This window comes from Homo sapiens, chromosome 10 (assembly GCF_000001405.40).
Source record: "Homo sapiens chromosome 10, GRCh38.p14 Primary Assembly".
NCBI lineage: Eukaryota > Metazoa > Chordata > Mammalia > Primates > Hominidae > Homo > Homo sapiens.
The window spans coordinates 69646159-69659828 of NC_000010.11; the positions used below are offsets into that span (position 1 = coordinate 69646159).

At 54.0% G+C, this 13670-nt stretch overlaps 3 annotated features.

Moving 5' to 3' along the window:
• Positions 6357-7038: an enhancer, noted in NCBI's record as "H3K27ac-H3K4me1 hESC enhancer chr10:71412271-71412952 (GRCh37/hg19 assembly coordinates)". NCBI's record gives its function as "activates a minimal SCP1, AML or CMV promoter by ChIP-STARR-seq in naive and primed H9 embryonic stem cells {active_cell/tissue: H9 hESC(naive and primed)}" and the evidence as "EXISTENCE:reporter gene assay evidence [ECO:0000049][PMID:30033119]".
• Positions 9828-10606: an enhancer, noted in NCBI's record as "H3K27ac-H3K4me1 hESC enhancer chr10:71415742-71416520 (GRCh37/hg19 assembly coordinates)". NCBI's record gives its function as "activates a minimal SCP1, AML or CMV promoter by ChIP-STARR-seq in primed H9 embryonic stem cells {active_cell/tissue: H9 hESC(primed)}" and the evidence as "EXISTENCE:reporter gene assay evidence [ECO:0000049][PMID:30033119]".
• Positions 10607-11384: an enhancer, noted in NCBI's record as "H3K4me1 hESC enhancer chr10:71416521-71417298 (GRCh37/hg19 assembly coordinates)". NCBI's record gives its function as "activates a minimal SCP1, AML or CMV promoter by ChIP-STARR-seq in primed H9 embryonic stem cells {active_cell/tissue: H9 hESC(primed)}" and the evidence as "EXISTENCE:reporter gene assay evidence [ECO:0000049][PMID:30033119]".

Sequence of the window (13670 nt, forward strand, 5' to 3'; positions counted from 1 at the left end):
AACATGTTAAGTACATTGTGGCCCTCGTTCCCCCCAAGTTGAAAGCCATTACAATAATTAATTAAGGCAGGAGATTAATTAAAGAGTCGTTTCCCCCCATTCTCCCTGAGTAGATCAATCAGGAGGCGGGAGAACATGTGCTACTCGGCAGACAGAGAAGGGGGGCTGGAGGGGAGGCCGAGGGGCAGCAAGGCAGTTACAGACACAGCTAGAGACAAAGGACTTCCGTGCTGGGGGCTGGGGGCTGGGGGCTGGGGCTGAGAGGAGCTGGCAAGGAGGCCCCCAGGAGGGAGAGCTTGCTCTGCTTCCAAGGACCTGTGATCTGGCTTCCCTTCTTGGTGTTCACAGCGTGAGGGTCGCTGTCACCATGGAAACAGGCCTGGGGACAGGAGGAATATCAGCTCTCTGCTCCTGGACTCCTGGATTCCCCTCTGGGAGTGAGAGTTCCCAGTGAGCAGAGTTGAGGCCCCAGGAGGCCTTTCTGTGGAGTGGCATGAGGGTTGGTGGCCTCCCCACTCCCGTGCCAGGCCCAAAACCAACTCCACACGAGCATTGTCAGGCTGATGACAAGCCTGAAAGTTCTGTTCCTCACATGTGCCACACTGCAGACAGGACAGACTGGTATGAGCTCAGGCTGAGAATCATGAGTCTTTTAGGTAACTTTTCTCATTTTGCTAAATTTTGAGTTCTTAATGATTGCTTTCTCCCTTTCACTCTCCCTCTCTTTCACTCTCTTTCTTCCTCTTTCTTATGCCTTTGGCCAATCTATTTTCCAGCTGAATTTCATATTTCTAAGAAATGTTTATATCATGTAGTGTGTTTCATGTGTGCATAGTGGGTTTAACCCATTCCACCCTGTGTCTCCGTCTTGCTTACTTTTGAGCCTTCCAGAACTTCCCGATTGATTTGTTCAGAAGCACTGCTCTTATGTTTCTCTATTTTGTATGATATTTTTCATATTTCTAATAAACATTATAAAGGGATGGTGTTCCATAGATGATTCCCCATGATATCCCTGGTATCGTTTCCTCCTTTCTGTTGTTTTATTTTAGGTTTTTGTATCTTTGTGCGTGCGTGGACTTAGCAGGCAGTTAGCTTTTCCTGTTGAGAGGAGATGGCTCAGCAGAGGCGGGTGATGAGGGAGCAGCTCATCCAGCACCTACTCTGCCACTTACAAAGTGTAACTCAGAATCATGAAGCGGCGCACCTTTTACTCACCCTGTCATTATGGATGGGGGCTTAATAGGCACTAGGTTTTGGAAACCCATGGTGGACAAGACAGATGTGGTCCCTGCCTTCTGGGGAACAACAGTCTGGTGGGAGAGACAGACATCAAACAATAAATACACAAGGATATAGCTACAAATTGTGAAAAATACCACGCAGGCAAAACCTAGGTTCTTTGATAGAGAACAGCATATGCCTACTTTAGGCTAGGGGTCAGGAGGAGGTGACATTTACACTGCAGCAGAAGCCAGCCAGACAAAGTGTGCAGTGAAGAGTGATGGTCCCCAGCAGGGGTGGAGCCGTCGGAAGCTGATGAAGCTTCAGCCTGGGGGCCCTTCGGTGCACTGGAGCCTCACAAGGCTCTGGGGGTGGCCCTAGCAATAATGGGTCCACATGGTCACATGTTTTTGTAAAAATTGTATAAAGTACTTTAACTGAAATCAGTTAAGAGCACTGACAAGTGGCCAGGTAGGGAACCACTGGGACCTGGCTAAGGGAATGCTGAGTTGGGGAGTCTATTTGGGTTTAGGGAGATGTATTTACATGCTCGTGGCACTGCCATGTATGGTCAAGGTCAAGGTCAAGGCCATCGTGGGGTGGGAATGGCTTCCAGGCACATTCTTCCTGCCTATTGTGCTAGGCAAGAAGGTGCAGTGTTTGGGGTTGACCTGAGCAGGCCCTTTTGCTGGTGGGGAGTGTGGCAGGTGGGGCATGGAGGAGCATGTGGCTGGGAAGGTGCAGAGGCAGATTCAGGGTCTGGAATATTGTTTTGAATTTCGCGAAGTTTGTGGAATTTCTCAGCTCCTTAAATCTTGTTATTTGTTTGGACTTCTCTCATTCTAAACAAGTTTTCACTTTTATGCCTAATTTTGCTTTTGAGTTTCTGAATTTCTTTTTTGTTTTTTTTTTTCTTTTCCAGAGACAGGCCTCTCTCTGTTGCCCAGACTGGAGTGCAGTGGTGTGATCTCAGCTCACTGCAGCCTCGACATCCTGGGCTCAAGTGATCCTCCTACCTCAGCCTCTTGAGTAGCTGGGACCACAGGTATATGCCACCACACCCAGCTAATTTTTGTATTTTTTGTAGGGATGGCATTTTGCCATGTTGCCCAGGCTGGTCTTGAACTCCTGAGCTCAAGTAGCCCACCTGTCTTGGCTTCCCAAAGTGCTGGGATTACAGGTGTGAGCCACCGTGCTGGGCCCTGCATTTCCTTTTTATGGAACCTGGGCCCTCCACCCTTCAGCAGGGATCTGGGCTCTGCCCCTGTCTGCTGAGCCTGTCTTCTCCTCTGTGGCTGAATGGTGCTCAAGGGGACGTCCTCGGGGTGGGATTGGCTGAGGCCCCACCCTGGAGGCTTCTGGGGCTGCTTCCAGGTGTCACCATTTCCCTCACCTAGGAGAGGTGGGGCCAGGAGGCAGACAGAACAGGCCCTAGGCCCAGGACCAGGGCCAGCTGTTTCTCCTTGGACACCCGGCGCACCCTGTGCTTAGAGCTTTTCAGAACTAGCATTTTCAACCCTCTCTTCTCTTCCTCTACCCCCGGCCCTCAGGCTGCAGTGCCTTGAATAATCCCATTTAAGAATCATTTGGGGTTAAGGCATCACCTTCTCCAGTTGTTTTCTTTTTCTTTTTCTGTTTTCTTTTGAGATGGATTCTTGCTCTGTTGCCCAGGCTGGAGAGCAGTGGCACTATCTCAGCTCACTGCAACCTCCACCTCCCAGGTTCAAGCGATTCTCCTGCCTCAGCCTCCCGAGTAGCTGGGACTACAGGTGCGCACCACCATGCTCAGCTAATTTTTGTATTTTTAGTAGAGACGGGGTTTCACCATGTTGGCCAGGATGGTCTCGATCTTTTGACCTCATGATCTGCCCGCCTTGGCCTCCCAAAGTGCTGGGATTACAGGCGTGAGCCACCATGCCCGGCGAGGTTTTCTTTTTTAAAATAGCCAGTGCTATCACTCAGTGTTTACATATTAAAATATGTAGGTGATATATCCAGTGGACAGAGCAAGATAAAAATACACACATAATTTTTATCCACAATACATAAAATTATCCCAAAGGAATGTGCATACACTGAGAAGGATGGGTGGGAATCCACAGTAGCATAGAAAGGCCTTGTGGGTTGCTTGTGTTTTATGAGTATGTGTGTGTTTGTGTGTGTGTTTGTGTGTGTGTTGAGGGGAGCAGTCTATGGGGATAAATGCAAAGTAGCCTAAAGAATTTTCCAAAGAAAAATGAAAGCCCCAACAGGCCTGGCTGTGGTGGCTTCTGAAGGGGGACCCAGGCCTGCTTGGATGAGGGGCTCAGCAGGAAGCCTGACCCCACCAGGTGCCTTCAGCTGGCTCCCCTCGGGCCAAAGCCCCGACACACCACCACCCCACAGGACAAAGCCTGGAACTGAAACTGGTTTTGAAAAGTGGGATTTGTACACAGCCCCAGGGAATGCAGCCCATGCCCTTCACTCTCATTGGCTGTTGCCCAGTGCCGTGCTTTCCTGTGGGCGAGGACAGGGTTGAGGGGGAGATGTCCCTCTGAGGTTCTTGAAGTTCTGCCTGACTGCCCCCACTGCCCTCCAATGACTCCCCTCCAGCCTGAGTTTCCTCCCCAGCCACGGTAGGAGCCCTGGAGCCCCAGAGATGCTCATCAAAAGCGTGTGCAGTGTACCCCTTTGAATCCCCCTCGCCTTCTTGTTCAGAAGCCCCATGAGTAAAGCAGACAGAAGCTGAGCTGCTGCATCTTAGACAAGTCTTTGAGGGGTGAGGGTGGCTCAGTGGCAGTGGGTGTCTGAGTGTCACCCCTCTGCCCCACCCTCCACTCAAAGTCAGGAACATGGACCTTACTCCTGTTCACTTTGCCCTGAACCCTGCCTGGAGTGCAAAATGCTTCCCTCTCCTTCCACATCTCCCTGCGGCTCTTGCCCTTGGCAATGCCTAGAAAGTGCAGAGGAGTGAGGCCACCTGCCGGACATCCTGCAGCTTTCTCCTCAAATTCCAGCTGCCTGGCTCCTAGGATACCAGTGCTAGCTTGCGGCCCCTTCCTTGGGGCTATGACTGCCTTGTCCCTCCTTGTTTACACTTTTCAAGCGGCAAGACAAAGATTGGTTGAAGAGTAAGTGGTGTCTACAGCTGCCTTGAAGAAGAGCAGGAGTGTGTCTTGGGGCTGCATGCTACTCAATTCCTAACAATTTCTTATGTTCTGGCCCTATTTCTACTGGCCAGCCCTGGGGGGTGGGGGTGCAGTGGGGAGGGTAGGTTGAGGAATAGGAGCAAGGGGTTACACAGCTGGTCTGTGCAGGGAGGTCTGGGGGGTAGCCCACTACAGTCTCCAGGTCCCCTTGGGCATGTGACTGAGCACTTCCTTGGTTGATGGACTGGCTGAGGCCTAGGAGCCAGTCTCGGGTCCTTTCTTCCCTCATGGCCCTAGGACAGGCCTGATGAGGCTGGTGGGGTAGGGGCGAAGCTGTGGGTCTTCGGCCACTATTGGAACCCTGTGGACTAGATAAAGAATGTAGCAAAGGAGACAGTGACATTTGGCCAGCCAGCCCGTCCCCCATCTGGAGACCCCCCATCTGGAGAGTATGTGATGAGCTCACGTCCCCTGGGGTTTCTTCCACGGTGGGAAGAACTCTTTGATCCTTGCCTGAGGCTGTTTTTAGTCCCAGAGTCCAAGCTTGTGATGTGCCCAACGCTGGGTTTCCTGGGGCTGCCCCAATGTCTCTGCTGCATGGATGCCGTGATTGGGCTTGGGAGTAACCACATTTATGTCATCCGCCACCCCGGGGGGATGTGGGCATCTGGAGGAAGCTGCAAACCTCCGTCCCACCTCTGCCGGGAGCAGGAAGCACAGGCAGTGAGGCACCTACAAACCCGCTTCCTGGAGTCATACTTCATTTCCCAAATTAAGAAATCACGCAAGGAAAAGAATAAGCATCCATGTTTTAAAACAAACAGGAAGTTGTTATGGCCACTTTGGGCAGAGGGACGTCTATGTCATGGGAGTCCTGCATGGGCAGCTTTGTCTGGGTTTTGCCATTGAACAAGCATTGGCCGAATGCCTGTCAAGTACGAGGCCTGAGAAAAGTCCTGAGACTGGGGCATATAGAGGTCAATAAGTGGTGGTTCTTGCTGTCACCATGTTCATAGTCTAATGTGCGTGTGACAACAGTGCAGGGAAAGCAGGAAACAGGGCTCCTGGGGGCTCAGAGTCAGGGTGAGCAGCCTGCACCCTGGGGACTGGGGAAGGTACACTGGGCTTTTCTGGCTGCCACGACCTGCTCCTCTGCTTTCGTCCCAGGGCCCTGTTATTCCCTGAGGATCCACCTGTCCTGCACAAAGCCCTTATGCTGCGGACGCAGCGAACTCTGCTCCAGCTTCTGGTAGAAATGGATCCCGCTGGGTTCACACCAGCCAGCATATTCCATTCTTGGCCTCGGCCACTGGCTCCTGGGTGGACATGTGGTTCAATCAGAGTGAATCTCGGGACATCTGCTTTGCCTGCTGAGAGGTTCTCTCTCTCTTGTCTCTTGTCTCTGTCTCTGATGTGAGAGATGAGCATGTAGTCAAGGGAGATTCTAAAAGTCACCTTGAGATCACACAGGAAGTCAGCCTTATGATAAAGATAAAGCCATGAGAAGCAGAGGTGAAACAATGAAACTAGGTCCTTGGTGACATTTTTGAGCCCCTGGGTCAAGCTGATTAGCAGCGGCGGGCTGCTCGGAGCGGCTGCTGCCATTGCACTGGCTGCAGCAGTGGGGTGCAGGCGGTGGCCACAAGAGCAGATGTGGGAGTGGCAGTGGTGGCAGTGGGATCCCTGTGCCCTGCATCCCCTGTGCCCCCCATACCCGAGGCAGCTGACTGCACCTTTCTCACAGTTGTGTGGCTGAGTGGGACCCACTGCCAGGCCTGGAGCCTCCGCCGCTCTGGACTCTGCCTCTACATTGCCACTGTCGCCCACTTCTGCTGCAGGGAGGAGGCAGACAGTCCCTGGAGCCTGCCCCTGGGAGCCTCCCAGAGTCCGCTGCCCTGGGGGCCACTGCAATGGGGCCGGGCAGAGTCACCTGATGGTGGGGGAGCAGCACAGTTAGAGGCAGAGGGGCCAGCAGAGAGGGGCCCTGAGGCAGACCTGGGCCCAGGGTAGAGCTGGCAGGAGCCGGGCGTGGCTGCAGCTGCCCAAGTTGTTGCTGTGGACCTGGCCTCCCCATGCTTTTGGGGGCCAGGAGCAGGCAAGAGTCCTGCCCTCCTGGGCACAGCTGCAGTCGCCCAGCTGTGACTGTGGACCCAGGCATCTCTGCAGTCTCTGGTGCCTAGGAAGGCCCCCCCTTATCCCTGCAGGCTTGAAGGTGTCTGCTTCCACTGCCTGGCCTCTCCCCACTACCAGCACCCACTCCGATCTCAGAGTAAGGATGGGACCAAGCCCGGCGCTGTCACAGCCCAGCTGGGTGTGCACACACTCAGGGTAGTGCTGACGTGCCAGCCCCCTGCCTCCTCAGCCCTCTCTGGACTTTGGGCACTGACAAGCACAAGAAAGAGGCTGAGAGGGTGTGAGGACAGCTCAGCACTGGCCTGCAGGCACCCCTTGGTATGAATGGCCTGGGTGCCCTCAGCAGGGGCAGGAGGCAGACAGGCTCCTGGGCAAAAGAGGGTGGGTCCCCGATGAAGACACACCTTCAAGCTGGGGAGGTCCTGAAGCCGGGGGGCTGGGCCACCAGTCCTGTGAACCAGAGGGGCAAACTTGTGGTGCTTTTCCTTGGGCCTGCCCATGGCTGCGCATGGATCTATCAGCACACATTTCCTCCCTTCTCAAGCCCATAAAAACCCCAGACTCAGCGAGACTCAACTAGAAGATGGAGAGAGGATGGGACAATCAGCTGCAGAGAGGAGCTATCCTCTCTGCTGAGAGCTGAAGAGACGTTGGGACAACCAGCATTACAGCTGTAGAGAGAAGCTACCCTCTCTGCTGAGAGCTGAACACTTGTATGGACACCCTGGCTACAGAGGGGAGTTGCTCACTGTGGGTCTCCTCTGAGCTGTTCCATTGCTCAGTAAAGCTCCTCTTCATCTTGCTCACCCTCCACGTGTCTGTGTACCTCATTCTTCCTGGACACAGGGCAAGAACTGAGGACTTCCCAAATGGCAAGGCTAAAAGACCTGTAACACAAACAGGGCTGAAACATGCCCCTTGCTCTCCAAGTTGTGGGTGAAGAGAAGAAGAGAACAGCTGCAGCCCTTTGGGGACCCCAAACCTGGGAGCTCCCTGAGCCAGGGCTGTGACTCCCTCTTTGGGGCCCTGCGGTTCCTGGCATCTCCAAGCTTCTAGGCACCACCACATTCTGCAGTGTCAGCTGGGGAAGCGGCTTGTGGTACACCTGGTCCAGCCACAGCCTCCCAGAGAGCCGGCACCTGTGCCTGCTGGCACCTGGAGCTGCCCACCCCACAGCGGCAGCTCGTGTGTCTGACTGTGCACAGTGGCTGGACCCCACACTTGCTTACATACCCCTCACTACTCCACACCTGACTCGCAGTCTCCCTGGGAGGTGTGGGATCCAGGCTGGTAGTGTAAACTGAGTGCAGACTGCCAGGCTGAGTGGGCAGAACAAGCCCAGTGGGCCTGAGCAAAACTGGGGCAAAGGCACCACCAGCCACAGAAGTTTTCAGCCAGAAAAGCAACACCCCAAGGATCCTGTAACAAAACCAGTCCTGACATTCACTTTACCTCTGAATTTCCCTGCTTATGTGAACAATACATTCCTTTTTTTATTTAAACCACTCTGAGATAGCTTTTGTTGTTGCTGCTGCTGTTGTTTTGAACACAGACACCTAAATGAAGTGGGCTCCTGCTCCATGACCAAGCTGGCACTTGAGATGGATCTTGAAGCATGTGCTCTAGAATGCTCCAAAGCATTCTTTTCTGCAGCCCTCTGATTTAAGCCCTCATCCAATACATCTTCGCTGAGCAGTGACTGTATGCCCTGTTCTCAGCAGAATGCTGGGATACACAGATCAATGAGATGTTGTCCTATGGTCCCTACTGGAGAAGCTCATGCCTTACAGGGGATCCAGATGGGTATGCCTGTCACTGCTACAGGGACGCATGGAAGGCTTGGTGGCCCAGAGAGGAGGGGGTGCCCCCTCTGCGGGGGAGTCAGTGAGGATGGCCTGGGCCATATTGACTCCCCTCCCCAGGCTTTCCTCCAAGAGCTGTCCCTCCCCCACTGCCAGCTCTCACTCAGTGGAACCAGGCCTGGGCAATCAGAGCATTCCTTCTGTCTGGCACAGGGACTGACTCCAGGATTGCCCCGACCCCAAGCCAGACGAATGAAAGTGTCATCTGGGCCTTGGCTGGAGTCTTGGGGTTGGTGGGATGATAGGATGTTCGTAGCTGCTGGGGTCATCTTAGGGCTTCCTCCCAACCAGAGGAACTCAGGTCTTTGTGTGGTGGCTCTGAAAGAAACAAAAAAAATTGCTGCTGGAGGTTGTGATGTGCCCGTCTACATGAGTCCCAGAACTGCTGAATCTGGGAGCAAGAAGGGACCTCCAACTCTTCGGGTCTGGCCCACTCATGTTACTGGCGAGAAAGCAGAGGTCCAGATGGGCTGGGTGGCATGCACAATTCCTCCTGGAAGGAGGGCAGAGCTGGGAAAGAATGCCAGTGCCCGCCTGCCCTGCCCCCCACCCACCATGCCCAGCACCTGTTCTTGTCCCTTCCAGCATCTCGGCATGAAGCTGTCCTCCTCTCTGAGGAGAGGTCGGCCTTTCTGGGCCTGCTGGAACTGTGGTGAAGGCTGCGCAGAGCCCAGTGTGCCAGGCCCTGACCCTGCTGATCACTTTCCACAGATGGCAGGGTGGGGGCGGGGGAACTCCTGAAGGGGGCGAGCTTAGCCCACTGCTTGGCTCTGAGCAGGTGGGGTTCTGCAGCTGAGCTCAAGGTTGCAGCTGTGCAGCCTACTTCAGGTTGGGAGGGTCATGTGTATGCACATCCATCACCAGGAGGTGAGGGAGGAAGGGCTCCAGAAGCTTCACCTCCCTGCCGTGCTGGCCAGGGCCTTGCCGTGCTGGCAGGGGGATGAAGTGTTTCACATTTCTCATGTGGTACTGTTCCGAGAAAGATACAAATTTAGAGCCTGGGTGACCCCCAGTAGATGCCCAGACAGAGCTGGAGAAAGACCAGGCAGAGACTAGTGAATGAAAAGTGGCGGGCAGACGGGTGAGCAGCCGGCTTTCCCTCCTGAGAATGACCTTGTCTGCCACGCCTTTGGCTCCCAGCACTGACTGTGTGATCCGCAGGGCCCGGTGCAAATGCAAGATGCGGCCCCCTTTGTCAAAATGGCCATGGCAAAGCATTAAACCCAGAATGGGGCCGGGTCGACCGCAGTCACACCCATGAAGCCTGCCCTGTTTGTGCAGTGTACGCGTGGGGAAGGGCTCCGGCTGCTTGTTGGACTCTTCAGGAGCTGGCATGGAGAAGTGCTTAGGAGCCCAAGTCTCTGGAGCCAGACTGGGTTTGAATCCCAAGATCTTGGGATTTAACCTCTGGGATTTAACCTCTCAGAGCACGAGTTCCTTTGTAAGATGGGGATAGCAACAGGGCCATTGTGGGTATTTGGTGAGTCAGCATGTAAATCTCTCAGCACAGTGCCTGGCCCATAGTCAGGTTACACGAGGGTTTGTTATTGTTATGAAGGTGAATATTTGTCTCCACCTTCCCAGTTCACATCTGGGCCTCCTCACCTGCCCCCCGCAGGCTCCAGCTGCCTGCTAGGCACAGGAGAGTGGTCATGTTTAGAGGCCAAGCTGGGTCCTGGGACCCAGCCCCACCCAGCGCCCTCTCACCTTCTCTTCCGTCAAGAGCAGGCCAGCGTGAGCCAGGGTTGGTGGAGCAGAATCCACTCCCCTGCTCCGGGAGTGGTTGCCAGGAAGCCTGGCCTCGTGAACCCGATGGTCTGACCCCTCAACAACTCTCCCTGGAGTGTGGAGGTGGGAAGGCCCCCAGGGTCATCTGAGGGCCTGGGTAGGGGAGCGGAGGGGAAGGCTGGGGCTGCCCTCTTCCCTGGGGCAGTGGTGCCGGGAGGGGCAGTGCCAGGGAGAGCTGTGAGAGGGGAGAGGTGGGGAGTGGAGGCCACCAGGTGGACTCCAAACCCTGGACTCCTAGCCCTGCTCTGCCCACTGGCTGATCCCTGGCCAGTCCTCAGCCATCCCTCTGAGGTGCTCTTGCCCCTCTGCCAAATGGGATGAAGACTCCTGAATGCCACAGAGATTCTCTGATGAGCAAAAATATGAGAGAGAGAGAGAGAGAGAAAGTGTCAGGGGGCGGTGGGGAGAGAGAGAGAGAGAAACAAAAACAGAGAGACAGGGAGGGAGGGGCATGAACACAGACAAGCAGGGGCCAACACAGATGTGTGTCTACTCAGGTTATTTATCCCATCCTCACAAGCATGCTGGCTTCAGGAGGGGAAGCTCTGGACCTGGTGCCTAGAAGTGGAGGTACTTCCTCCTCCTATTCCTGGGTGTGGTCCCCCCAGGCCAGCAAGCATTGCTTTTAGGCTGGTTAGCTCACATCGAGATGAGGGAGGGAGTCTGGCACCTGCTGGGGGGCTCCCAGCTGAATACCTCTACTGAGCTTGCTCTCAAAGCCCCACTTGGTGCTGACAAGCCGTCTGGAGCTCAGCTGGCCAGGATGACCTAATGTTCCACTGGGTCTTCTTCTCTGCCATCTTTCCAGGGATGGCCCTCGGCTGACCCTGGCTTCTGGGCCCCCAGACCCAGGCACCTTGAGGAAGAATAGCAAACAAGCCGGATTTCAGGAGGCACAGGGCCAGTGTATGACCTTGGACTGTTTGCTTTTTTAAACTTAAAAATATACAATTTTAATTTTCATCGTGAAGACAATTGTGTTCTTGGAACTTCCAGGCAGCCCCTGTCTTGGCCAGTTCCTCAATTAGGTGCCTCTCAAGAGGGAAAAAGCCGAAATACAATTACTTGAGGAACAATGGGCTGGGGCTATATTTAACACGGGGCCAGCCTGGGGGACCACATGCTCACCCCCCTCCCTGGCTCCTCTCCCTCCCGTCTTAGCCCTCACCTTCCTGTCCCTCTGTCTGGGTTCCCTGGTCTCCCAGCCGCCCCCACCTCACTGTCTCCAGCTGTCTGCACCCTGAAGCTGTTACTGATGGACAATCAGACAAGCCTCTCCCAGGACGGCTGCAAACTCCTTCCTCCCCAGATCCGCTGAGCAGCCTCACGCCTCTGAGGTAGGTCACTTCTGAGTCGGAGATAGAAAAGTCAGTGTCACTGAGCAGAACCAGCATCTCTGGGGGCGGAGTTGTCTGAAAGAAAACCATCCCAGCCTCCATCTGCCACCTTTGGATCTCAGAAACAGTCTATCCCCAATGCCGCCAGCTCCCTAGCTCACAAGGGACACTCCCTGCCTTTGTCTTGGCTGATCCTCCTTGTAATCGTGTGAGGCAGGCCCATTTTACAGTGGAAAGCACTGAGGCTCTGAGAAGTTACATTAGTAACAGAGTTACCACAATGCCAGGAGCTTCTGCCTGGACAAGTCAGCACCTGGGGGTTTTGGTGCCAGGTGTGCATCACACGCAGGTGGCCGCTGAGGTCTCAGTTGTCAGGTCTAATGAGCGTGATGTCCAGATGCTGGGGCTGGGGACAGCTTCTTCATTTGTGGGCGTTTTATTAGCATGTGGTACCCATAGGAGTGACCGCCATGGAGAAGGGATGTGGCGCAGCTCATTCAGACAAGGGTCATGCAAGGAGGATGGGAGAGGAGGCCTGGAGCAGGCAGCTCGGACGCCTCCTCAGAGAAGCCTCCCAGGACCACCCGGTGAGGTCAGAACATGCTCCTCTGGGTCTCCCACAGCACCACGGAAGTTTCCTTCATTGCACTTATCACGGGTCCAAGTTTATCCTTATGCCCATAGGTTTTCATTTTGTTTTGCTTTTTTACTCTGTGTCTTCAAAGATACTGTGAGCCCCTTGAGGACAGGGATATGTCCTTCTGTGCACACCAGGAAAATTTCATAGCTCTTCCTCTTAGATGACAAGGACCACTCTAAATCCAGATACACTTCAAGTGGGTGTTCATTGATCAATCACGCCAGGCTTTGTGGTCCTTTGGGCAGTCAGGGACATGTAGCATGAGGCACAAGGTTCTAGCCACAGGCCAGGCTCGCTACAAGCCTAGTGCCCTTTGCATATCCCACTGGAACTCCTAATTTCTTTGGGATCTTCTGCTCACAGATTGTGATTCTGGTTTGTTTATTTATTATTTTATTTTATTTTTTGAGATGGAGTTTCACTCTTGTCGCTCAGGCTGGAGTGCAATGGTGCGATCTTGGCTCACTGTAACCTCCGCCTTCTGGATTCAAGCAATCCTCCTGACTCAGCCTCCCGAGTAGCTGGGATTACAGGCACCGCCACCATGCCAGGCTATTTTTTTTTTTTTTTTGTATTTTCAATAGAGACGAGGTTTTGCCATGTTGGCCATGCTGGTCTCGAACTCCTGACCTCAGGTGATCTGCCCACCTCAGCCTCTCAAAGTGCTGGAATTACAGGCATAAGCCACTGTGCCCAGCTGTGATCCTGGTTTAAATGGCCCTTCCTTGAAGTGTTCCTGTCAAGGGGTTCCTTTTGACTGCATCAGCATCTTAAGTATTCCTTGAGGGTGGCAGATTAGGGGGAGGGTGTTGAGGTGAGGGTGGATGGCAGACAAAGTGATGGGGAGATTGTGGTGGGGTGGGAGGTTGATGGCAGCGATGGGGTGGACAGAGGTGTGGCTGCATCAGTGATGCTCTGCTAAAGGAGGGATCAATTGGGAGTTCCACCAGGTCAGACTAGGATCTATCGGTGATCAGCTGGTGAGATCTCCTGGCCAACATGTTCATCTAAAGACCAAAGATGGGTTAAACGCCTAGCTTATGTCCTGTTCCCGTGTGCTGTGTGCCCCATAGTGGGTAAACCAGACCAGCAGGAATTAAAACCTGCAGTTAATGTTCAACAGCTGGTAAAGGGAGAGAAGGATGCTGAGGCTTGCAGCTCCCGTTACCTCCCTGGGAGAAGTCATCAAAGGAGGCAACGGGGTGAGAAACGCACTCAAGAGCATCCAGAGACCCCACGCTGCCCGGCTCTGGGGCTCCAATTCCAGCTTGTAGTGCCAACACATCTCAGTTCCTCCTCAGGGACAGCAGGAAGGGGCTCTGAGAACAGGCCACCATTGGTGCAAACAAGTGAGAACCAGGAGAATCCCCCAGCCCTTAAATTCACATGGGCCAAAAGATAAATTTTAAGAGATTCAGCTGAACTTGCCCCAACCACAAACACTAGACAAATAATCTGAAGCACTCAACAAGCATGAAACTCGGCCAGCTCTGCCCTCCCGGGTTCCTTGTAACTCGAGGAGCCAGCAGCAGCCATCCGTTGTGACTTAAAGCATCTG